Raw genomic sequence first — 24,325 nt, forward strand, 5'->3', positions numbered from 1 at the left:
CCTCTGGGGTTCAAATGATTCTCCTGCCTCAGACTCCCAAGTAGCTGGGACTACAGGTGCGCACTACCGTGCCCAGCTAATTTTTGTATTTTTAGTAGAGATCCCCATCTCTACTAAAAATACAAAAATTAGCTGGGCATGTTTCACCATGTTGGCCGGGTTGGTCTCGAACTGCTGACCTCAGGTGATCTGCCCGCCTTGGCCTCCCAAGTGCTGGGATTACAGGCATGAGCCACCACAACCGGCCAGATTGCATTCTTTATATGGTTCTCAACTTGAACATTATTGGTGTATAGAAATGCTACTGATTTTCGTGCGTTGGTTTTATATCTTGGAGCTTCACTGAAGTTGTTTATTGGTTTCAGGAGCCATTCAGTGGAGTCTTCAGGGTTTTCCAAGTCTAGAATCGTATCATCAGCAAGGAGAAATAGTTTGACTTCTTTTCCTACTTGGATGCTTTTTATTTCTTTCTCTTGTCTGATTGCTCTGGCAAGGACTTCCAGTACTGTGTTGAATAGGAGTGTTGAGAGTGGGCATTCCCTGTCTTGTTTCGGTTCTCAAGGGGAATGGTTCCAGCTTTTGACTGTTCAGTGCCTTGTTGGCTGTGAGTTTGTCATAGATGGCTCTTATTATTTTGAGGTAAGTTCCTTTGATGCCTAGTCTGTTGAGGGTTTTTATTATGAAGGGATGTTGGATTATATTGAAATATTTTTCTGTCTCTATTGAGTTAATCATGTAGGTTTTGCTTTTAATTATATTTATGTGGTAAATCACATTTATTGATTTGCATGCTTGAACCAGCCTTGCATCCCAACTTGATCATGGTATATTAGCTTTGATGTGCTGCTGGATTCAGTTTCTTATGTCCTCCCTAATACTGCCTCATTTCTCCTTTTTTTCCCTTTAAAATGAGATTCCCTGAAGCCGTTGTCCCACCTTGCCATCCTCCAACTTTCTTTTTCCATTATCTCTTGAAGGCACTGCTTCAGGACTCCACCCCAGCAATCCACTGAAGCTGCTTTTTGACAAGGTCACAGTGACCCTGTATACAAAACCCCATGCTTCTCTGAGCTCTCATCTAACTTGTCTTTTTAAAAGGCTTCGCTGGTTTTCCCTATATACAATATGACACACACGCACTCCAGCCCTTCAGAATCCCTTCTTTGTAATTATTATACCTCCTTCTATTGATTATTTCTACTGATCTCATTGTCTCTTCGATGCTTGTACCCAAGTACCCACAATAGTATCTGGCACTCAGCAGGGGTTTAGTGAAGAAAGGATGAATGAGTGAATGAATTTATAAATGACTTCCATGCCAATTTGATGCATGTACTGAGATAATTTACTTAAGGATCACACTGGTATTATTTTTGCTTAATATTCTAGAAATGTTATAAACATACATGGTGTAGTATGGTGGTTAAAGTACCCAGACCCTGGATTTGGAAATATGAATTCCAGTACTTTTGTGTCATGTTCAGGTTAATTAGCCTCTCTGAGGATCAGTTTGTTTCTATATTAAAATGGAGCTAAATGCTAGTAAATGCTTTATAGTAATGTTGTAAGGATTATATGATTAATTCCTGTAAAATATTCAGCAGAGCTCCTGTAACAATGTAAAGTCTCTAAATACGTTATGAATCTTAGTCATTATCACTATTTAAAATGGGCAAAGGTAATAAAAACAAAATACTGACTAATCATGCAAAATACCATAAAATTTTTATTGTTCTAAATCTCATGTTGCTGAGTAACCCTTACAGAAGGTCATTATATAATCTTGAGATTATTATAAAATAATGACCTATGTAAGTGGGAAAAATATCAAAGATAATATTTTCTAAAGTATATGGCATAAACCACTAATTTAATAAAATGATAGGCAAAAGGGGTTGGGGGTAGAGAGGTTTTATTGTCAAGTATACTTAAGAAACACCACTTATTATATGCTCCTTTTGAAGATTTAAAAGCATATTAAGGCTGGGTGTGGTGGCTCTCGCCTGTAATCCCAGCACTTTGGGAGGCTGAGGTGGGCAAATCACCTGAGGTCAGGAGTTTGAAACCAGCTTGGCCAACATGGTGAGACCCTGTCTCTACTAAAAATACAAAAATTAGCTGGGCGTGGTAGCCCACACCTGTAATGCCAGCTACTCAGGAGGCTGAGGCAGGAGAATCACTTGAACCCGGGAGGCAGAGTTTGCAGTGAGTTGAGATTGCGCCATTGCACTCCAGCCTGGGCAACAAGAGCAAAACTCTGTCTCAAAAATAAATAAATAAATAAACAAACAAACAAATAAATAAATAAATAAATACATAAAAGCATATTAAGGGTTCTGAGAAGTCCTGTAGTAAAATGATGCATTTAACCACGGTTCTCAACTTTAACTACATAGAAGCTTTTCTTTTTATTACTTTTTTGAATTGCTTTTAAATTTAACTTCATTTTAAAATTTGCGGAATTAGTTTGTGTAATTCACCTAAAGTCATTAGACCTTTAGAGTCCAAACATTGGAACTAGAAATAATATTAGTGGTTAATTTTATCAACATTTATGTATTCTCTCACTTGTTGATGGCTCTCCCATTCACCCAGTCTCCCTTCCTAACCCCGAGATTTCTTCCATTCCTCATGCTAGTCATCTAGTAAGTCTTGCATGTACTGTTTCCTAAAACCTTAGGAAATCCATCTGCCTTCTTGTCCTCACAGTTAGAAACAAATCTCTCATACAGACTTCTACTATAGCATACTTTCCAAACTTCCCAGCTTGAGCTTCATCTTTCAATTCTGCCTGAATACTGCAGTCAATGAAGTATTTTCATAGGCAAATCTTGTCATTTTTTTTTTCTCTTTAAAACTCATCATTGCTCCTTATGACTGACAAGGAACATCCTAGGCTTCTTAGTAGGGCATATAGGTTCTCTCACAGGTTCTTTGTCAGTTTTGCCAGGGTCTCAGAATTGAAATTTTACATGTCATCTTAGGAAAGGACAGTTTAAAAGTTTCTCTCATTCAGACTTACACAGTTTCATTTACCATGGTGAGCCTTTGGCTTGGCTCCTTGGCATGGCCAGCAAAGTGTTCTCTCAGGAAACATTCTTGGCTTCATCTTCCCAGTCAGTCCTAAATAGGAAAATGATTTTATAAAACAAGTGAGTGAGTTGACAATGCTTCAGCTGTAGATGACCCCAGGGTTTGTGTCAGAATAAGAAGCTAAGACCCTGAAGTTTTCTATGATTGATTCTTTGTTCATTCATTTATTCCTGGTTGCATTGAAGAGGCATTCACTGAGGGGTTATAATATTCCAGGCACTTTTCTAGATGGTGGGGAAAGATGAATAGCACTCAGCCCTTGTCTTTGGGGAGTTCACTGTATAATGATGAATAAATGTTCTAAATGAAGTGCAAGCGAGCTCCGAAAGTCCCTTCAGTTTACACAATCTGGTAAGCTAGAGCAGAGTAAACAGCCCACAATAAGAAGACTTACTGTAGCACAATCTAGTTGCCTTGGAATCATCTTTTTTGCCCCAATTGGATTTTAATACACTTGTTGCAATCGATATTCATCAGCAGGTGTATAATATTGACAGCATTTCACAATTTCCTGACAAGTGTGTTTAATAACATTTTTTAGAAAAAGAGAAAAAAACTTGAAATGGTATCTTTTTCATAGTCAGAAAAGCCTATATTAAGGTTACCAGTATTCCCATTATTATTTTACTCAAATATTTTTTAAGACCGGGCACGGTGGCTCATGCGTGTTATAACAGCACTCTGGGAGGCCAAGGCGGGTGGATCACTTGCAGTCAAGAGTTCGAGACCAGCCTGGCCAACATGGTGAAACTCCATCTCTACTAAAAATACAAAAATTAGTTAGGCATGGTGGTGCACGCCTATAATCCCAGCTGTTCAGGAGGCTAAGGCAGGCGAATCGCTTGAACCCGGGAGGCCAGTGTTGCAGTGAGCTGAAATTGGGCCATTGCACTCCAGCCTGGGCAACAGAAGCGAGATCTCAAAAAAAAAAAAAAAAAAAAAAAGAAGAAGTATTTCTTGAATACCCACTATATGCCAAGCACTGGTTTGGCATTTATCTTAGTCTTTTTTTCTGGAGAAATCATGCAGTTTTTTGTAGATGTTTTAGGAGCATAGCTTATAGGGTTTGCTTTGTCATTTTATCTACAAGTATACTTTGAAGTTCAAGTCATTTTTCTTTGAGTTTCTTCGGCTTTAGTAATACCAATTAAAGCTTTCCAGTGAACTCTAACAGAACAGAGCCATTGTCAAGGATGGTCAAGAAGAGTCAGTGAAATCAGGATCATTGGCCCCTTTATTCTGTTGAAACTGTGTATCTCATCCCATCCTGACTCTATTGTATTTAGGGGTCCAGATGGAAACCAAGACATTTGATAGACATCCATTGGCGTATGTCTGTTTAGTCTCTTAGGAAGACTCTGACCACTATTTTCCCTTCCCATCATCAAATGCCTTTTCAATTCACCAGATTTAAAAACTGATGGATTATGTGGAGTGTTTGCTGAAAGCAAAGATTGCTTGTACATACACACAAGTGAACATACACATATTTCCCCACCCTTAAATTAAAGACATACATTCACCACGAGGGGACAGAAGAGATATAATGAAAGCAGTAGTAATAATCATAATAAACTTAACTAATTCCATCCAGGAGGGATATGTTTTTATCTGATATACACCCAGCTGTAGCAGGATTAGTACCAGTTTGCTTTTTAATAAATGACAGATTACTGTTAAACTGGTCAGCAAATGTAAAATTTTGGAATGATATATAGCTAGGCGGAAAGAAAAGGGAGCTTATTTAAAAATTGGTTCCACTTAATGAAAATTGACTTTAACTGGGATTTGCTTTAGAAATTCTCCCTCAAGATTTAACTACATCCTGGTGGAATTCTGTGTATTTAGAACATTAACAAAGCTAAGACTTGGTTTGCCGAGTGTACCCAATATAATATCATCCATTTTGGAAACAAAGAAATGTGTGTTTTTCATAAATACATATGTGGTTTCACATTATTTAATTGCACAAAGTTATCTGACATCCAAGTATCAAATTTAGGTTACTATATTAATGTGAATTGTTGTGCATTTTTGTGGAGAGGAACACAAATCTATTCTAACCTTGTGTAGGTGCAAATTTCAAATTTTTATTATCATCTTGTTTTCAGTTTTAGTTTAGAGATCCATTAGTAACTGTGTGGGCAATTTAAATCAACTTCTGCAAATCCTATTTTAAATCCCTCTGTTAGACTATTCTACTCCTAGATTAATCAGTTATCAATAACAGTCCTTTGTTCTTTTGGTTTGGTTCGTTCTGTTTATAGTGACTGCTGGGCTACCTGGGAGGTAAGTGAACTCCTCCTCACAAGAGTGTTCTAGTATGGTATAGTATGGGTGTCCCTGTTAAGGGAAGATTCAAAATCATGTAGGGATTAGATTAGGTCAAGTTGAGGTCTTTACTAATTTTGAATTTCTATGATTCTAAACAGAGATTTGAGAAAGTTGATAGGGAGAACAGACAGATCAGTTTCCTTCAATATAATACAGCAGTAGTCGGAAAAGAAAAACCACTATGTAACAAACAAGGGCCCATGGAACTCAGTTGATAATATCAACTGATTTTAAAGTATATATGGCTTAGATAGCAGGTTTGTTTTTCTGCTTCACCTGAGCTTGCATTCCTCACCTCATGTTTGATGAATACAGTCAAACCTAATATTTAGCTGTGAACATTATTATAACACCTATAGCCAGTTGAGGTGGGCATGGGCATGAGCCTCACAGGAACACTCAGCTTATTGATTTGTAAACTGAGTCTTGGCAAAGTTAGGCAACATGGCCAGTAAGAAAAATGACTGTGGCACTTTCTGCCATCGTGCTCTGTGCGATAGCAGCTCCTGTCGAGTGGGTCAGGTGGGCCCATCTGTTCACACTCAGCTCCTAGTCAACCGTAGCTGAATTGTGGTCACCAAAGTGAACACTACAACAAAGATCTTCTCTGAGTTCCTGGAGAATTGATCATCCAGGCAACTGATTTGGCACACCCCTGAACCCTGCTGTTTGTTCTGTTCTCTTCCTGTTCATCCTTGGATGAGGCCTATAGTGGTATAGAGTCCCTCTCTTGCTCCATTTGGTTACTGTCTAGCTATTTCACCGGAAACAAATTATCAGCGCTTCTCTTTCCCAGAGAAAAGGCTATGATAGGACTTGCTTTACAGAGCTATCGTGAAGGCTGAATAAGATTGCACATATGAAGTATGCAGTCCTGCAATGGGTTTCTTTTAAAAGGAAGGGCCACATTGGATGCATCTTTAAGGACCCAAAAATAGTCACTATAGAGGCTTGTAAATAATGCGAGCCTGATAACAGCTGTAATTTTCTCTAAAGCATAATTTGTTTTAATTAAGACAGGATTGTGTTCATGGGTAGGAAATGGAGAGGGCTGATCTTCTCTATTTCAGAAATGTTAGGAGTTACTCCGTGTAAGATCAAGTATTATTACTTCATGTAGTAGAGGCGTGTGACAGTTCAGGCCCCATGCTGGGCTCTAGATGAGGGTAGTTTACCCTTGCAGACTTGAGCTGGCACTTGGAACCACTTCACAGTGAGAGATTTCATAATCTAGAGCTAACTTAGAGAAGAGTATGAACTTTCCATTATTGCTGGAATATCCCTCTATCCTCCTTTCCAAGTGCCTGTCCAAATATTTACAGTAAGTTCCTTTCATACCTCTGTCAATAATAAATGTTTTTATTCTCTATGAAAGGAATTTTTCAAATTTTACCCCTTCCATATACATTTAAAGGTGATACACATTTCTGAGCAGTTTCAACATTGGTAATCAATGTTAATATTAGAAATGTCCTTCTTAATTTCATAAACCTGGCCCTCCTGAAAGTCTGAGCATGGTTTTGCCTTTGCTCTGGGATGAACCAAGTTGTAAAAACTTTTGGCAGGTGTGAGAATAGCTTTTCTTCTCCCAAAAATGGCAATGCTGGGATGGTGGATGTACCCAGAACAGCTGTGTTGGTGCTAGTAATTGATTGTGGTTATTTCAGAGAGCATATGAAATATACATTTATTTTCTTAGCTGCTTTGAGTGAGGAATTGAGAAACCTAGTCTGCCTGCCCCTCTTTCCAGCCAGTGTGAGATGCCCCCACAAAATGGGAAAACTGTGCAGGGGCTCAAAGCATGGAGGATGTAGGAAGGAGTGACCGGAAGTTAATCACCTGAGTCCTGCTGAGGCCTCTGTGAACAGATGAGATGAGGTCTGAGAAAAAACAGAATTGACCAGTATGAATTGACATCGAGGGACTATTAAAGCAGCTAATTATTTGGGAATTGTTGATTTGGCAAATGAGATAAGGCAGAAGAGAAGGTTGTTTTATTTTGTTTTTTTAATTTTCTCGAATCCACTATTGTTAAGCATGTTTTCCTAAAGAAGTTGTTAAGCATTTTTAGGAACACTTGGTGTCAGTACTAGTCAGGGGAAATCAGCACTGGATGAGGCAAGACTGGGTGCATTCTGGTCCCAGCCTAGCCTCTAACTGGCTCTGGTAACATCATTTCCTTAGTTCCCTTATGTAGAAATGTAAAATTATACTGAATGAAGCTTTTATGTGTCCAACTTTACATAATATCCATAGGACATTATTCAGCTCCAAAATTGTATTATTTGAAGTTCCTGAATATACAGAATATCTAAAGGTTCATCAAAATAGAATTCTTTGTATGAAAGCATATTTATTTCCATTGGTAAACACACCCAGTTTTTATTTCATCACACGTATTCTACTATTCTTTCTCCATGTAAGACTGATTTTCTTCTTCCAGTTATACTGTGAAAATAAACAAAGTAAAAGAAATCTACACAATTGTGATATTGCTGTCAGGAGCCAAGGGTCACACCAACTTGTACACTGTTTTGATAAAGTTAAGAAGCAGTGTTAAGTGTGTAAATCCTCAGTGTCAATCAACCCTTATGAAGAAAGGGCATCTCCGATAAGGAAATTGATTCTACTAAGCCTTTTGTGAGTTGATGTTCTACCAAATTTATATTCTAGCAGATATGGTGGATAAGTAACTCAATTTTTTTCTTTCTATTCACACAATAAACATAAAATTAGCTAATGATAGGGTTGTAGGCAAGTTCTGTATTTGCAGCACTGATTCATTGTCCTTGACACTAGTCTTTGACCACCTTACTCACCATTTCCAAGTGTCACTTTAGAAAACTGACCTGAAGTCCCTAAATTCAGTGCAACGTGCTCTCCATTCATGGACTAGGATATGAACAATATCATGACTAAAAGTAGCTTATAAATGGCACTTAAAATTTTGTCATTTACAGTTGATCCTATAGTCATTATTAGGCTCTCTATTTTTTTGAAAGTGAGGTCGGCTGCATTTGATATGCTCAGGAAGCACAGAAAATGGATTTTCATTTGTGAATGGTAAAATTAATATGATTGCTAATAACTGCATCTGATAACTTCAGTGCATCATTAAAAAGTCAAAAGAACATTAAAAATTTCTTGGTTTAGTGACCTATTGTGTGCACAGAAAATCATAATACGGACTACCTGGTATGGGGCTGAAAAGATAGATTGGTGAGGTTCAGATGTGGAGGAAGAGGAGGGAGTGAAGTCATGTCGCATAAGAAATGGCAAGAAGACAGAAATGAGCAGAAATAGGTTACTATCCACAAAAGCCTTCTTTGCTCCATTTTTCTCACCAGAGAAGTAGAAAATAACTGCATTTGTATTTCCCATCTCTCTCATCAGCCATCTTTTGAGTGGCTAAGTAGCATAGAATGTGAATAATGAAGGTACTCCCATACAGTGTTGTCTGGAAGCCAGTCTGAGGATGTTTAGACAGCCCTTCCTTAGAGTGTCTCTTAGGCTGCATGTGTGGGTCTGGCAGCTGACAGGCTAAAGCAGGTGCGTAAAGATTGAGACCAGTAGCAGGGCCAGGAACTGGGCTGCTGGAAGTGCTGGACATCAGCAGGTGCTGGTGGAGACCACTCACTGGTTGTTGGCTGGTTGCTGAGATCAGCTTTAGGGAGCTGTTGCTTTCCATTGGTAAGCATTTTTAATCCTGGAATTTTTGCTTGGAAACAAGTGGAATTAATGAACTGTTTCCTTTACTCAAATCACCAAATAAATAAAGCATAATTAATGAGCGTTTGCTTTAAAATACATATAATAGTTCCTCTGTTTACCTTAGTTATTCTGAGAGCACAATTATGAAATATTCGAAGTGTAGAAGCAGAACAAGAGAAACCTGGATACTCTCTACATTGCATTGGACAAAACATCTCATATTGTCTCATTCAAGTTACTTGTGGATTTTTTGAGGGGATGGATGATCTTATTCCCTGAGTCTTAACTCGATTCCATATAATTAATTTCCCTAACCTCAGCTCCATCTTACTCGGATGAACTGATTGAAAAAACAAGTCTGGGGCTTAAGTAAGCTCTTATCCCATAGATGTCTTCATACACCTTTACCACGACTACATTATCTCTGTGCATCACCAAGAATGCTTTCTCCCACCAAGTTATGATAAATGTTATCAAAAAGTTATTTAAATTGCTTAAAGAAGCAATATGTTTCAGAATTCTGGAACAAACGTTTTGTGTGAGTGCTACAAAAAACAGTAGTTTTTAAAGGGGGTTTTGGTGGTGTTCGTGAGGTTTTTTAATTTTTTTTTTTTTTTTTTGGTCTTTACATTATGTTTCTAGATGAGATCTATTTCTTTCAATGAACGCTGTTCTATAAAGCAACAAGATTTATTTCGGAAATGCTAGTCAGAATGTCCTTGAGCTTTAAAAATAGGAACAGTTCTTTATTTCTTAGCTACTAAGTCATTAGTAGTAAGTGTCCTTGTCTCTCTCCAACTTCTTCCCCTTATCCCTGGATCCCCCTTTATCCAGGTAATATGGAGTACGGAATAACCATGGCATAAAGAGCTTACACAGAGGACTGTGCTCTTTTCTCCCCGAGAGGAAGAATATCAAAAAAGATGGGGAGTGGAATGACAAGGGGCTTTGATAAGTTGGGTATTGAGGCGGTGCTTGCGAGACATCACGGATGAGTGGAAGTGCCTCATTCCAAAGTTGTTTTGTTGTGTCTCTTCAAGTCGACATATACAGATCCAGAGGTTCTGATCAGATGCAGGGTCTCGACCTCTTGTCTCTACCACGTCCTAGTTATATGATACTGGGCCTATTACTTAATGTTATCAGTTTCCTAATATGGAACAATCCATTTAGTGCTATCTACTTTGCTGATGTTGCTCTAAATTTTGCTCTAAATTAACTAACAATATGTGAAAGCTTCTAGCACAGTATCCAGGCACATATTAATATATGCTACTATCTCTCTTACTCCTTTTTATATCACAAGAAACCTAGGTCATTTACTCATGGCCTTTTAAAAATACTAAGCAATACAGGAGAAGAAAGTAATACTAAAATATCAAATAAAACCTAACTGCACTGACTAAAAAATAATCACATGATTTTAAAGAAAGAAATTTAGTTCCATCATAGACTGATGTTCTCAAAGCCTGGCTCGGATTGTATGATTTAATTGGTAATCCAGCATAAAGTGGCCTTTTCTGACTTTCTAAGCCACAAGGAAATCCAATTCTTTTCTATCCTTTAATAATAATGCTGATAGGGTAATACAAATTGATTTTCATAGGGCATTCTTGAGAAAAAAAATGTGCATTTAGATACAAAGAGAGTATTTACAGGTTGTTCAAATGGATCCTGCATGGATTCCACAATATATTTTGCCTTAAGTTAACTAACTTTTAATGGAGCACTCAATTAAATTGAAGAGATTTTTCTTTTTTTGCCATGCAAAGCCATATTTAAATAGCCAATTGCAATCACACTACTTCACCAAGCTAGAAAATGTCATTATTTCCCACACTTTAGGAAAATATATGCCTCAAGATTCTTTTCTCTTCATAGTACTCCATGCACCCTCCCTTCTCCCTGCACCCCACATTAAGATTTAATTCTTAAATTACTTTTTTTTTTGAGAAATGTGGAGATTTTTAATTTTTTTCCCACATATGTTTTGGTTTCTGGATATTTCCTATGAATGGAAACCCCCTGTGCCTCTGTAGGAAATGTATCTTTGAATTGCTAATTGTTTAGGATTAACCCCATAGATCTTTAGCAGCTGTCTTGATGGCATTTCCAGCCTGCAAATTCAGTCTGTTTATTTCTGGGACTTCAATCATAAACCATACTCGCAGGAATAAAGGTCAGATTACCTCCTGGGTCGAATGATGGCAGTCTCTATGCATTCTGTGGCAGAGCACACAGAATCCAATGACGGGCAGGCCATTGTTCTTCTCTTCCTCTCTCCTCGTATTAGCCTGGGCTACTGTAACAAAACAGCACAGACTGGGTGGCTTAAACCAGCGGTTCTCAACTTTTTTGGTGCCAGGGAACGGTTTCATGGAAGTCAGTTTTTTCACAGAATGGGGGGTTGAGGGATGATTCAAGCACATTACATTCATTACGCACATTATTTCTCTTATTACATTGTAATATAAAATGAAATTATACAACTCACCATAATGTAGAATCATGGGAACCCTGAGCTTGTTTTCCTGCAGCTAAATGGTCCCATCTGGGGGTGATAGGAGACAATGACAGATCATCAGTCATTAGATTCTCGTGAGAAGCAGGAAACCTAGATCCCTCGCATGCGTAGGTCATAAGAGGTTCGAGCGCCTGTGAGAATCCATTGCCACTGCTGATCTGACAGGAGGTAGAGCTCAGGCGGTAAGAGAGTAATGGAGAATGGCTGTAAATACAGATGAAGCTTCACTTGCCTGCCCACCACCCACCTCCTGCTGTGTGGCCGGATTCCTAACAAGCCACGGATCAATTTCGGTTGAGGACTCCTGGCTTAAACAAGGGAAATTTATTTTCTTATAGTTCTGGAGGCTGGAAGTCCAAGACCACGATGCTTGTAGAGCTGGGTCCTGGCCCTCCTCTGCTTGCAGATGGGCACCTTCTGGCTGGGTCTTTACATAGCCTTGCTTCTGTGCCTACAATCTGAGAGAGAGAGAGAGAGAGAAAGCGAGCGAGCTAGAGAGATCTGAGCTCTGTTATCTCTTCCTCTGTTTATAAGGACACCAGTCCTGTGCGGCCCCACACTTATGACCTCATTTAAGCTTAATTGCCTCACTGAAAACCCTTTTTCCAAATATAGTCACATTGGTCTTTAGGGCTTTAGCATAGGGGAACACAGTTCAGTCCACAGCACACCTTCGGGACTGTTCTGGTGTCTTCTAGTTAACCCTTAAGATCTCTTCTTCTCTTCTCTCCATGAGCTCTGTGCATGCAGACACTGATCTCTCTGGGTTTTAATGAGGTTTGGCCAGTGGGGTATGCTGGCCAGAAACTGGAATGTAAGACGAGGAGATTGGGGGCTCAGGTATGCATTCACCAGCCCCCTGCCTGCAGGTCCAGCACAGGCTAGCATATCCCCTGACCAACTCCGATTAGCCCCTCTGTCACCAGCTCCAGTGACTCCCCTCTCTCTGTGCCCCTTCAGGCCTGGGAGTGTTTATTGACCCCATGCTGTCCTTTGAGGTTTTCCTTTACCATGCTCGGTTATAAAATAATTCCCTCAAATTATCTGTTCGACACAAGGACGTCACCTCTGTCTGGAAGGGACATTTTCAGGGCAGCAGCAACCTACTGTCCTCTCAACTCAGGACTCTCAACCCCGTGGATCCCCAAAGGACCCCTCAGCAATGCCATTGCTCCTTCTTAGTGGTATCTTCCATGAGTGCTACTGGAATAGAATGACCTGTGTTCATACTTCTGAGGGAGTCCCCCCTCAGGATGGGATTTCAGGGGACTTGGGGGTTGGAAACTACGTCCTACCTCTTAAGGGCAAAAGATACATCTATTCTTTATCAGTTCTAATTCTACTGCCAAGTCTGGAAAGGACTTTAGGACTTTTCTGCTCTTATATCCTAAGGCCAAGCTGCAATGGAGACATGGGGGATTTGGCCAGAAAGGGTACAATAACCACTAGCCCTCTTTTTGCCCAAAAGAAGACTATTGTAAGGATTAATAGCTCAGGCTGTGGCTCCAGTCAGTTTTCAAGGTCTGGCGCTTTCTTTTTTTGTTTGTTTGTTTGTTTAGAGACGGTCATTCTCTGAGCCCTGTTGCCCAGGCTGGAGTGCAGTGGTGTGAGCATAGCTGCCTGCAGCCTTGACCTCCTGGGCTCAAGTGATCCTCTCACCCCAGCCTCCCCAGAAGCCAGGAATATAGGCACATGCCACCATGCCTGGCTAATTTCTTATTTTTTTCTTAGAGACAAGGTCTCGCTATGTTGCCCAGGCTTATCTCTAAGTGCTGGGATTACAGGCATAAGCACTGCACCCAGCCCGTTAGTGAGCACTTCTGAGAGAACCAGTTTGCTCATCTGTAAAATGATGATAATATAAACTTGGATTGTGCAGAGTAATGTTTGTACAGTGCTTGGCGCATAGAAGGTTTTTTAGAAATGTTAGCCTCTGTTGTTTTTAGTACACAGTGGACCGTCTATGGGTAAAACCCCTTTTGGCCATAACATTAAAAAATTATCTCTTAACAATTGACTCTTTGTTTTCCCTCTTAGTAGAGGAATTAATGTTCTTGTTTCTTTTTATAAAAGTAAGACATGGTCATAGAAGACTGACATAAAAAAGAAAATAAAAAGCTTTTCTGATCTTACCATACAAGATAACTTCAATTACATTTTCACTTTATGGTATGCATGGAAATGTATGCATATAGACTTCTTTACACACGCCCTTTTTTGTCTTTCCCTTTTTTTTTTTTTTTTTTTTTTTTTCCAGATACAGGGTCTTGCTTGCTGTGTCACTCAGCCTGGAGGGCAGTGAAGCAGTCGTAGCGCGCTGCAGCCTCAAACTCCTGGCTCCAAGCAATCCTTCCACCTCAGCCCCTAAAATAGCTGAGACTAGAAGCATGCACCACCACCCGGCTATTTCTTTTTAATTTTTTGTAAATATGTGGTCTCACCCTATTGCCCAGGCTGGTCTCTAACTCCTGGACTCAGATGATCCTCCTGCCTTGGCCTCCCGAAGGACTAGGATTACAGGTGTTGGCCACTACACCCAGTCTACACATTGTTTCCTAAACTGAGACTGTGCTATACCATTTTGTATCCTATGTTTGTAACTACATTATCACAAAAATGCTTCCTAAATATTTTATTAAATATTCTTTAAAATCAAGTTACTTTTTAAAGATAGTTTAATTGAATTTTATTCATGGGCACACTGTCATAATTTTATATATATATATATATACACACACACACACACACGTGCTTGTACCATATATGCTTTTTAATTGCATTGTGAGTCTTTGTCTATCATCTGTGATGGTGCTGTTTAAATCAGGTGGGTTTTGCACAATCCCATATATTCTATTGACCTATCACTGAGGCCCAGTGAGACCCTGATTTTTGCCTGTAACACAGCCCCTCAGTGTCTGATAGAGAGGGAACATATTGATGATGAGTTGGAACATTCTTTCTTTCCCTCTGGTATGTTGTTGTCTCTGAGGTCTAGACAGGAGTCCATCACTGTAGTTTCTCAGTCTGACCACCCTCACCATAGTGATGCATAATCCCTCCTAGAGATTGTCATAGCATTGAACAAGATTCTTAGTTTGTGATGGCTTGGTGATTTCTGTACCTTTCTCTCTATTTCATGAATATTTTGATGAAACATTGAGGGATGGTAAACCGAGCCCAGCTGTCGAGCAGCAATAGCAACTGAAAGTTTATCCCCCTCTCTATTCATGAATATTTCCAATTCCTGGGTAATTATAAAGCATTTTTTCCAAGTTCAAGGACAAAAAGAAAGGTATGAACAGGTCTATCAAATCATGTCATAAATATACTGTTCCTTGAGGATTCAAGGTCAGGAAGAGTTTATCACAGATACTCCAGACTTTGTTGTCTCTTTTTCTTCGGCTCTTTTTCCAGAAATTCTAAGACAGCATCCCCCAAATGCTTTTGCTTCCACCTGGGGACCAGAAAATTAGGGCCTGGAAGGAAGAAAGTCTCTGCCATCACTAGCTTTGTGACTTGGGTTCTCACTTCCTAATAGAAAATGATGGATTTGGCCTCAGTGTCTTCCAATTTGCCTTCTAGCTTTAAAATGGCACAATTTCTTAGGGATTCAGCTGCAGCTATTCCCAGAAATACTTTCCATTTTGGCTTAATTCTCTGTTTTCTCCTGAAGACATCATCTTATAGTCACTTCACTGTGTATGTCTATATTCTACTTTGCTTCTATTCCTTGATTATTGAGGACTTTAAGAAAGTCATTTTTTTTTTCAAGATGGAGTCTCACTCTGTCGCCCAGCTGGAGTGCAGTGGCATGACCTCGGCTCATTGCAAACTGCAACCTCCACCTCTCAGGTTCAAGCGATTCTCGTGCCTCAGCCTCCCGAGTAGCTGGGATTACAGGTGTGCACCACCACGCCTCGCTAATTTTTGTATTTTCAGTAGAGATAGAGTTTCCCCATGTTGGACAGGCTGGTCTTGAACTCCTGACCTCAGGTGATCTGCTCACCTCAGCCTCCCAAAATGCTAGGATTACAAGCATGAGCCACTATGCCTAACCAAGAAATTCTTTTAGTTATTTTTAGCTACCAAGCTTTGGCATGAAGAATGTGACACTGTCTTGTAGCATTCTAAGATAATGTTAATGGATCTATGGTCAAATATGTTTGGAAAAATTATATTAGACTGTATCCTGTTCTTAGAATTTTACAATAAGCATTCATTTATTAAAGGTTCTTAGAAGTTTTGCAATGAAGAGGCTCACTTAATTTTGTTTAATTCGGGGATTCCCAAACATATGTGATCTTGAAACCCTTTTATTTATGGTAGCATCCATTAACATCCCTCAGTAATTAGTGTCTACACCACTCATGGGAAGATCAGTTCTATAGAAAGAAGTACACAGTTAGTACTTGCTTCTGATGCTCACCAACAGTGTAATTCAGCATAGAGGCATAACCTCTCTATACCTCATGTTCCTCAGATATAAATGAGGGTGCATAATAGCACCCAATTCATGGCAGATTTGAAGATTTTAAACAATAGTGCATAACTACGGTAATTACAACTAATAATATCCCAACTCTCATATCTCACTCTCTGGGTTCAAATTTTGGCCCTACCACTTACTGTTTATGACCTTAGGAATATTACTTAACTTCCTTTTAAAAAAAAATTTAATTGAATTACTTAACTTCTGTACCTCAAGTTTCTCCACAGCATAACGGGGACAGGAATTGTGCCAGCCTCACAGGATCCTTGAAAGAATTCAATGCAGTTCATGTAAAACACTTTGAATTGTGCTTTGTCCATAAATAATTAGCCATTATTATTGTCATTATGTGTACTCTTGTAACTTTTCTGACCGTTTTAGTCTATAAAACCAACGCCTCTTACTCCACTCCCAGAAGCTGCTTAAGCCCAGCATATTAAGATAGCAACACACCCCACCTGCACCTACTCAGTTTGGCTCAGTGGATTCTGACCTCTTCATTTAGAGTCATTTCACACCATCATTTAGCTTTCTCTGTTTGTGAACAGGGGCGGAGAGGCCTCGGCTCTGTGTTTGTTTGGGCATCTGGAAATGGTGGAAGGAGCAAAGACCACTGCTCCTGTGATGGCTACACCAACAGCATCTACACCATCTCCATCAGCAGCACTGCAGAAAGCGGAAAGAAACCTTGGTACCTGGAAGAGTGTTCATCCACGCTGGCCACAACCTACAGCAGCGGGGAGTCCTACGATAAGAAAATCGTACGTGACATGTGCATGCCCATCATGATCTGTTTATTTAATGTTCACTTTGAAATACAAAGGGAGAACCATAAACATATATATATATACACACACACACACACACACACACAGAAGTAATATATGGAAATAGGAAATTAGATTCGCTGATAATAGAAGAAGTTGTAAACATTACCAATTGAAAATGCTTGTGCAGTCATCACATTGCAACATTTAATGTGGACTTAGATGTTATTAAGCTTCAATTTTATTGAGGATAAATGATTGGTTCACGTTCACATTGTGAGTTAGTGGCAGAGAAGAGACTGGAATCTACGCCTGACTCAGTCCTGTACTCCTATCACTGTGTTTCCGCACCGACTTTTAACTTTAGCTTTAGTGCTTGGTTTCTGAGTATGGCCAATTCAGTGTGAAAAACAAAAGTGTATAAGGAAACTCAGAATTTCATTGAAATTATACTTATTTAACATGAACTAAACCTCTGTAAAAGGTGCGTTTCTTTTTTTTTTTTTTTCCTTTGAGATGAAGTCTAACTGTTGCCCAGGCTGGAGGGCAGTGGTGTGATCTCAGCTCACTGCAACCTCCACCTTGCAGATTCAAGCTATTCTCCTGTCTCAGCCTCCCAAGTAGCTGGAATTACAGGTGCGCACCACTGTGCCCAGCTAATTTTTGTATTTTAGTAGAGACAGGGTTTCACCACGTTGGCCAGGCTGGTCTCAAACTCCTGACCTCAAGTGATCCTCCCGCCTCAGCTTCCCAAAGTTCTGGGATTTACAGGCGTGAGCCACTGCGCCCCACCAAAAGGTGCATTTCTTTATTTTTATTTTTATTTTTTATTTTTTTTTTTGAGACAGAGTCTCGCTCTTTCGCCCAGGCTGGAGTACAGTGGTGCGATCTCGGCTCACTGCAACCTCTGCCCCCCGGGTTCAAGTGATTCTCCTGCCTAAGCCTCCCGAGTAGCTGGGACTACAAGCATGTGCCACCATGCCCGGCTAATTTTTTGTATTTTTAGCAGAGGCAGGGTTTCACAGTGTTGGCCAGGCTGGTCTCAAACTCCTGAACTCAAGTGATCTGCCTGCCTCGGCCTCCCAAAGTGCTGGGATTACAGGTGTAAGGCACCGCGCCCAGCCAAAAAGTGCATTTCTTTTTTTTTTTTTTTTTTTTTTTTGAGACGGAGTCTCGCTCTGTCGCCCAGGCGGGACTGCGGACTGCAGTGGCGCAATCTCGGCTCACTGCAAGCTCCGCTTCCCGGGTTCACGCCATTCTCCTGCCTCAGCCTCCCGAGTAGCTGGGACTACAGGCGCCCGCCACCGCGCCCGGCTAATTTTTTTTGTATTTTTAGTAGAGACGGGGGTGCATTTCTTATAGACAGCACAAAGTCTGCTGGATGAAGAAGCACAGAAGCTGTATGGGATCTCCCGTTTAGCAACATATCCTGCACTCTAGGCAAACAGCCAGTGTAATTAAGAGTTCAGGTGGCAGGCTCAGCCTGCTGCGTGAGTTTCTTTCACTCTTGAGATATTTGTAGTTGAGTAATTTTGGACAAATTAATCTGTCTGTCTCAACATGCTTATTTATACAAAGAGGACACTTAGTAGCACATAGTTCATGGAGTCATTACAAAATAATGAGGAAGGCAGTAAAAAGTGCCTAGCACAGTACCCGGCCCTTCAGTGCTTAGGAAAGCTCTAACTTTTCGGGGATGCCCAACACTGTGCTGCTGATTATAAATTTCAGACACCTTTGCACTTTGCCCTTTTTCCTGATCATGATTTTGTAAACTGTCTCTGGATTTGTCTTTTCAAGGTAGAGCTAAGCTGCTGTACCTGACACTTTTTAGCATTTAGCCAAGACCCTGCTTCTGGCTCTAACAGATCTACGCAGGTTGGGGTCACTCTAGTGGTGCTCCATCTGCCTTTCCCGCAGTCCATAGGGGATAGAACTGTACCTCCTTTGTGCAAGTCTTAATCCACATCCATTCTATTCCTCTTGATTCCTGGTTATTATATGATTTTTCTGTTTCATTTATCGGCTACTTTTTACTACCTTCTTTAGTTACATTTTGTAGATTGATTTAGGTAAAAATTGCCTACCCATATACATGTCCCCATCTTTCCCTAATTGCTCCACAATGTCTGGGTTTAAATATATACACCCAATTCCACCTGTCAGTACCTCCAACATTCATCAATAAGCATAACTCTGAAACAGCAAGTAAAATATAAAAGGCAAAAATGCAGAGATGAGCTTTGCATTTGAGGTTTCTGGCTTCCTTAACTGGGAAGTGATGCCCCACTGAAATTTTGCCTCCATTAGAGAAATGTTATAATCTAGAAATATCCCTTTGCTTTTAAATAAGAAGACCTTGTGTCTTCTAACTCATGGTCAACGTCCACTAGCACGGAGTGACATCCATCAGTCCTGCATCGTGAAATTCCTGATGAAAACTCGAATAAGAGTTCTCGTTTTTTACCTCTGGAGTTTGAAATCATCTTAAGTCAAACTCACTATTGCTTCAAAGTAATTATGCCCATTTAGTCAGTCCTATTATTCTCTATGGGGTGATTGCTATGGGGAGGGTATTGTTAACTTTTATAAATGCCTTCTGTAAGGGAAGCATATAGTCTCATGGTAAAAATATCAAAGAAGAAGGAAAGGTGGTCTCGTCCAGATGGGAGAACACAGTATGTACAGAGGGACTGCAAAATCACTACTGTGAGTTTTACTCTCTAAACTTAACCTTCCTGGGGCCTTCGTCATTGTTTGCTGTGATTGTGTGGTTGCCGCTGTGACTCCCATGGCAGGGGTGTCATTTAGGATTCTCCCATGGATAGACAAATTGATCCATTCTGTGGGCAGGAAGAGAGCTTACAAGGGAAAGTGGACACCATGACTAAATGTTAATACCCTTTCGCGAGGTCATATACTTTTCCCCAATTTTTGCTTGTGATTTCAAAGCCTTCTGTGACTCACTCTATGTATTTAACTTAATTCGTTTCTTCCTTTTTGTTTAATGCATTTCTTCTGTTTTTGTGAGATTATATTAGTAAATTTTCTCTAGCTAGTTCTTAGATTCCCTTATTTTGCCTGAATTCCCAAATTACCCCCAATTGGAGAGGAAATTTGGAAGCTGTTTATATTAGTCTCTAGCTTCAGAGAGACCACTCAGTGGATAAGCAACCCTCATGGAGTCTTGATTGCCTCATCTGTAAAATGGAGATAATACCAGCACCTACCTCAGAGATTTCCATGAAGATAATAAAAGACTGAGTTAAGGTGCCTGATGCCTGGTACACAGGAGCAGCTCAGTGCATGTCCGGTCGCATTGTCGCCTAAGCTCCTGTAGCTTTCTGCAACCTGGGAGGTTAGGGTGTTTTTCCAGCTGCTGTTAGGTGCCTATCGCACCTCAGTTTTTCCAATCTATAAAACACTGCGATCTGTTCCACTCATCCCATAAAGAAAGACACTCTGATCGGGAACATGTTAACAGTTTGAACATGAGTGGAGTTGGCAGTAACATCAGCCTTTTATGGTCCGGCTGACCCCTTTTCCTTCTAGATATCAGAATGACAAATAATCCTGTGTTGCGCCTGGGACCTTTCCTTCACCAGGCTTTGAACCCAGACGCCTTTGGTCCCTCGGTGATGCCCGCATCCTGTTAGTGGCATATGTGATTGAGTGCTACAGGAATGGCAGTGCCTGTCTTTGTACTAAGCCCCCTTCCCTGAGACATTCATTTCCTTTTGTCATCTGCAGCCTACCCAGAAGAGCACGGTTGTCATTCTTCATTCATAGAGCACCTTTGTGATTTGAACCAAGACAGTTGCTGAGGATCTGAGGAGAGAGGGAAAAAAATCTCTCTGCTTCTGGGAAAGCATTTTTGTTAAATAAATTTTACTTGTTCTGGACAAAATGACTTTTCATGATACGCAAACAGGAAAGCCTTGCCCTGGGTTTCAAAACATAAGGAAGTCCCTGTCCCTTGGTTTCCTGCCATTACTTCTAGCACAGTTGTGGACCTCGGTATTGCATTCATGCTTTAGTAGATTTGGATCAGCAATGACCTTATATCTTATTACAGCAAAGGAAGCGTTCAAAGTATAAAGATTACTATGAAAGAAGCTCTTTCATAAGCTAAATAGAAATCATTTAAAATTACTAGTTATTTTAAAGTTGTATAACGAAAGAATTCATTAACATAATTGTTCACATTTCATGTCTCACATGTAATACATTTATATATTAACATGTTGAAAATATCACATTTTTTGTCCTTCTCATTTGTGCCTGACACTGTGCTATGCACATCAAATGCAACATCTCATTGTATTCTTGGGAAACCCTATGCAGAAAGATCATGGTGTCCCCACTTTTTACAGATGAGAAAACTAAAGCTTGAGAAGTTAAGCAAACAAAAACCATAGCTAGTAAATGGTAGAGCTTGGATTCCAATCAAAGTCAAGATAGACCCCCAAACTCATCTTGTAGCCAGTGTGCATCCCATCCTGATGCATCTTAGGGATATCCAGTATGGGGCTATGTGAAAGAATAGTGCTTTTCTTACCTGTTTTGAGTTCTTTTCAGTCATAAAGAAGCATTTAGAATATATACATTTCCATTGTTTTTCACTATTTAGTCTCCTCATTTTGAATTTCATTCCTTTACCCTTTTTCATACCCCCTCACACAGTTGAACCTCTTGCAAAAAACTCAAGCTGAGTTGCTAGTTCCTATGGCAGCAGAGTTAGCACTGAGCTCCCAAGGTCATGGCTTTTGTATTTTCTGTATGATGTTCAAACCAGGGCTTCCTGATGTGCAAAGTCCCGTCTGTTAGAACACTCCTCTACCAAATATCACTTCATTTTTGTCTCCTCTCAAATTTCACCTCAAAGAGGATTTTCTTCATCACCTTTTCTAAAATAGAGGCACACCCCTCCACCACTCTCTACTCCTTTACCCGGTTCAATTTTTTTTTCTAGTGCACTTATAGCTACTTCACCTGGTAGTACATATTTTCTTATTTACTGTCTGTTTTTCGCACTACAATGGAAACTACTTGAGGATGAAGACCGTGTTTTGTTCCTTTCCAGAGCCTGAGCTTAATAAATATTCGTGCATAAATGACTAGCAAACATTTGGAAGGATGGAGGCTTTACAAGTTGTTTATATAGCTGCAGGAAGACAGGGAGCTGCTCTGTTTCTTTCAGAGAAACTTCTTCTGTCGGTAGGTTGGTGAAAGTGAAACGTTATTTGACAGGATATTTAGCATAGAAAATTGCCAGCAGGAATCCTGCAACATGATAAAGCTGTTCATGTAACCTGTTTTTAGTGTCAAAAAGCCTAAAAGATCCTATCTATAACCCCTCACCTCCTCCTGACATTTCTCTCAAGTTCTGTTTTATAAATAAGGCTCCCCTTTCTTTCCAGTCCCTCCCATCATTAAATTATCTCTTTCTTTTGGGACTTTGTTCAGACTTTGACTTTTTTCCCCCTAGTAATTTATCTTAGTGATTGGGACATAGGGTTTCTCAGATTCCTCCTGGGAGGGGTTCTCTGAGCCAGAGTTGGGAGAATATATGTTCTGCTTAGCCCTCTCCTGATGTCATTTTATTTATTTGTGTTCAAAACAAAGTTGCTGCCTGGGGTATCTCAGAGTTGGCCTGAAAAACAAATTCCATGTGGAGGAATTATCTTATTGCTTTTAATGCTTCTAAGCAGCTCTACATTTTCTTTTGCAGAAATATTCTGCTCCTCTTCTACCACCCGATTCATTTTTCAAATGCATTCACCATTTGCACTAGGTTATTCTCTGTCATCTCTCCATTTCTTCTTTTGACTTAGAAAATTCCATTATTTTTCATGAGTAAAAGTCTAGTGAATCCAGATGTGTTTTTGTTTATTTGGAAGTTTGATACATATTCTCTTGAGAAAGTTAAAAAGCTAAAAGGAAACGTTGCTTCTGAAAAGGTCTCATTTTAATGGCCTGAAGGAACCTCTATACGGACTTGCTGACTTGGGCTGGGTCACGAGGCTAGTTGTTGTTACCTTTGCTCTCATGAATGACTACACTTTGTAACTCAGCTTTTTTTTCTTTTGCTGCTATTTTACAGTTTGATATCTTTAGCACTGACGAGCCCTTTTGTAGCTGTTTGTCCTTGGGCAAGTTACTTAACCCCTCTGAGCCTCTATTTCCTTAGCTAATAAAATATCTTCCTTGCAGTGTTCCTGTGGGTTTATATATCATTTTATATGGACACACATAAATACCTCTTGCATACTGTCTCATTCATTGCAAGCTGCTCATTGTGGTAGTTTTAGAGGAAGCAGTGGAGCTGGTGGTAGATAAAGCATCTCTAATACAAAAATTCAAAATCTGTAGCATTCCAATGAACATTTCCTTTGAGTGTCATTTTGGCGTCCCAAAAGTTTGAGATTTTGGAGCATTTCAAGTTTTCAGATTAGAGATGTTGAACTGGGGTAATGCAGCTATTCCATAATCTGCAAAAATTTGAAATCTAAAACACCTCTGGTCCCAACTATTTTGGGTAAGGGATACGCAACCTGTAGTACTTGTGAGAGTATTAGCTGTACTTTAAACCCTGGATTGTATATACACATATGCACACATAATTTTTGTAGGTTGACTACAAATTTCTGTGAGTTTTGTTTGGATGGTGGAAAAAGAAGTGACTTTGAGTGTTTCCTAATGAACGGAAGAGTTGAAGTATAGAATGAAATGAATATAAAGGAGCTTGATTTTAGGGATTCAACTTAGCAAATAAATATTGTGCCTCTTGGTACATGGAACTGAGCTGAACATTATGGAGATACAAAAGTGATGTAACATGAGATTCTTCTTTAGTGATAGTAACCCTCCATTTGTAAGCAAAATCTTCTATTTGTACTTCACATTTACAGATTCTTTTAGCAACACGAGAGTGGGATTTTGTGTGGACTTGTCAGTCATGACTGAATTTTACACTAGTCTTTGTGACTTCTGTGGACACAAAAAGCTTTCTTTAGTCTTCGGTTCTTTTTTATTTTACTGTGCTTAATAAATCAGCTTCTTCTATTTTAGTCATTGACACATTTAAAATTTAGTTTCTGCCCTTCTCCCCCATAGCTGTGTCTGAAACAGCTTTCTTGGCACAATTCTAGTTCAAATCAAAATCAACACCAGAAACAAATTCAACCTAACAGACAGTAAAATCATTTCATGTTTCAAAAATATCTGTTCAGTTGCTCTTTTAACAGATACGAGACAATATGGCACCTTCAAAGTAAAACGGATCACTAGATATCAAGGAGAGAGAAACTCTTGACTGTGGGGTTGCTATAAAAGCTTGTCACTTATGGCCAAAGTCAATCTGAACTGAGATTCCCTGGAGAATTACATCAACAGGCTAAAATCAAA

At 39.7% G+C, this 24,325-nt stretch overlaps 1 protein-coding gene across 8 annotated transcripts in view; it reads left to right on the plus strand.

The window, feature by feature from the left end:
- Positions 1 to 24,325, plus strand: part of PCSK5 (proprotein convertase subtilisin/kexin type 5) — a 473,167-nt gene that overhangs the window by 189,382 nt on the left and 259,460 nt on the right. For all 8 annotated transcript variants that reach the window (NR_120409.2, XM_047423454.1, NM_001372043.1 and 5 more), the window contains exon 8: positions 16,700 to 16,912. Coding sequence is in view for 7 of the 8 variants with exons in the window: in XM_047423454.1 (XP_047279410.1) it covers positions 16,700 to 16,912 (213 nt within the window). In the remaining variant the exon portion in view is untranslated. The remainder of the gene's footprint in view (positions 1 to 16,699; positions 16,913 to 24,325) is intronic.

Source organism: Homo sapiens, chromosome 9, assembly GCF_000001405.40.
Source record: "Homo sapiens chromosome 9, GRCh38.p14 Primary Assembly".
Taxonomy (NCBI): domain Eukaryota; kingdom Metazoa; phylum Chordata; class Mammalia; order Primates; family Hominidae; genus Homo; species Homo sapiens.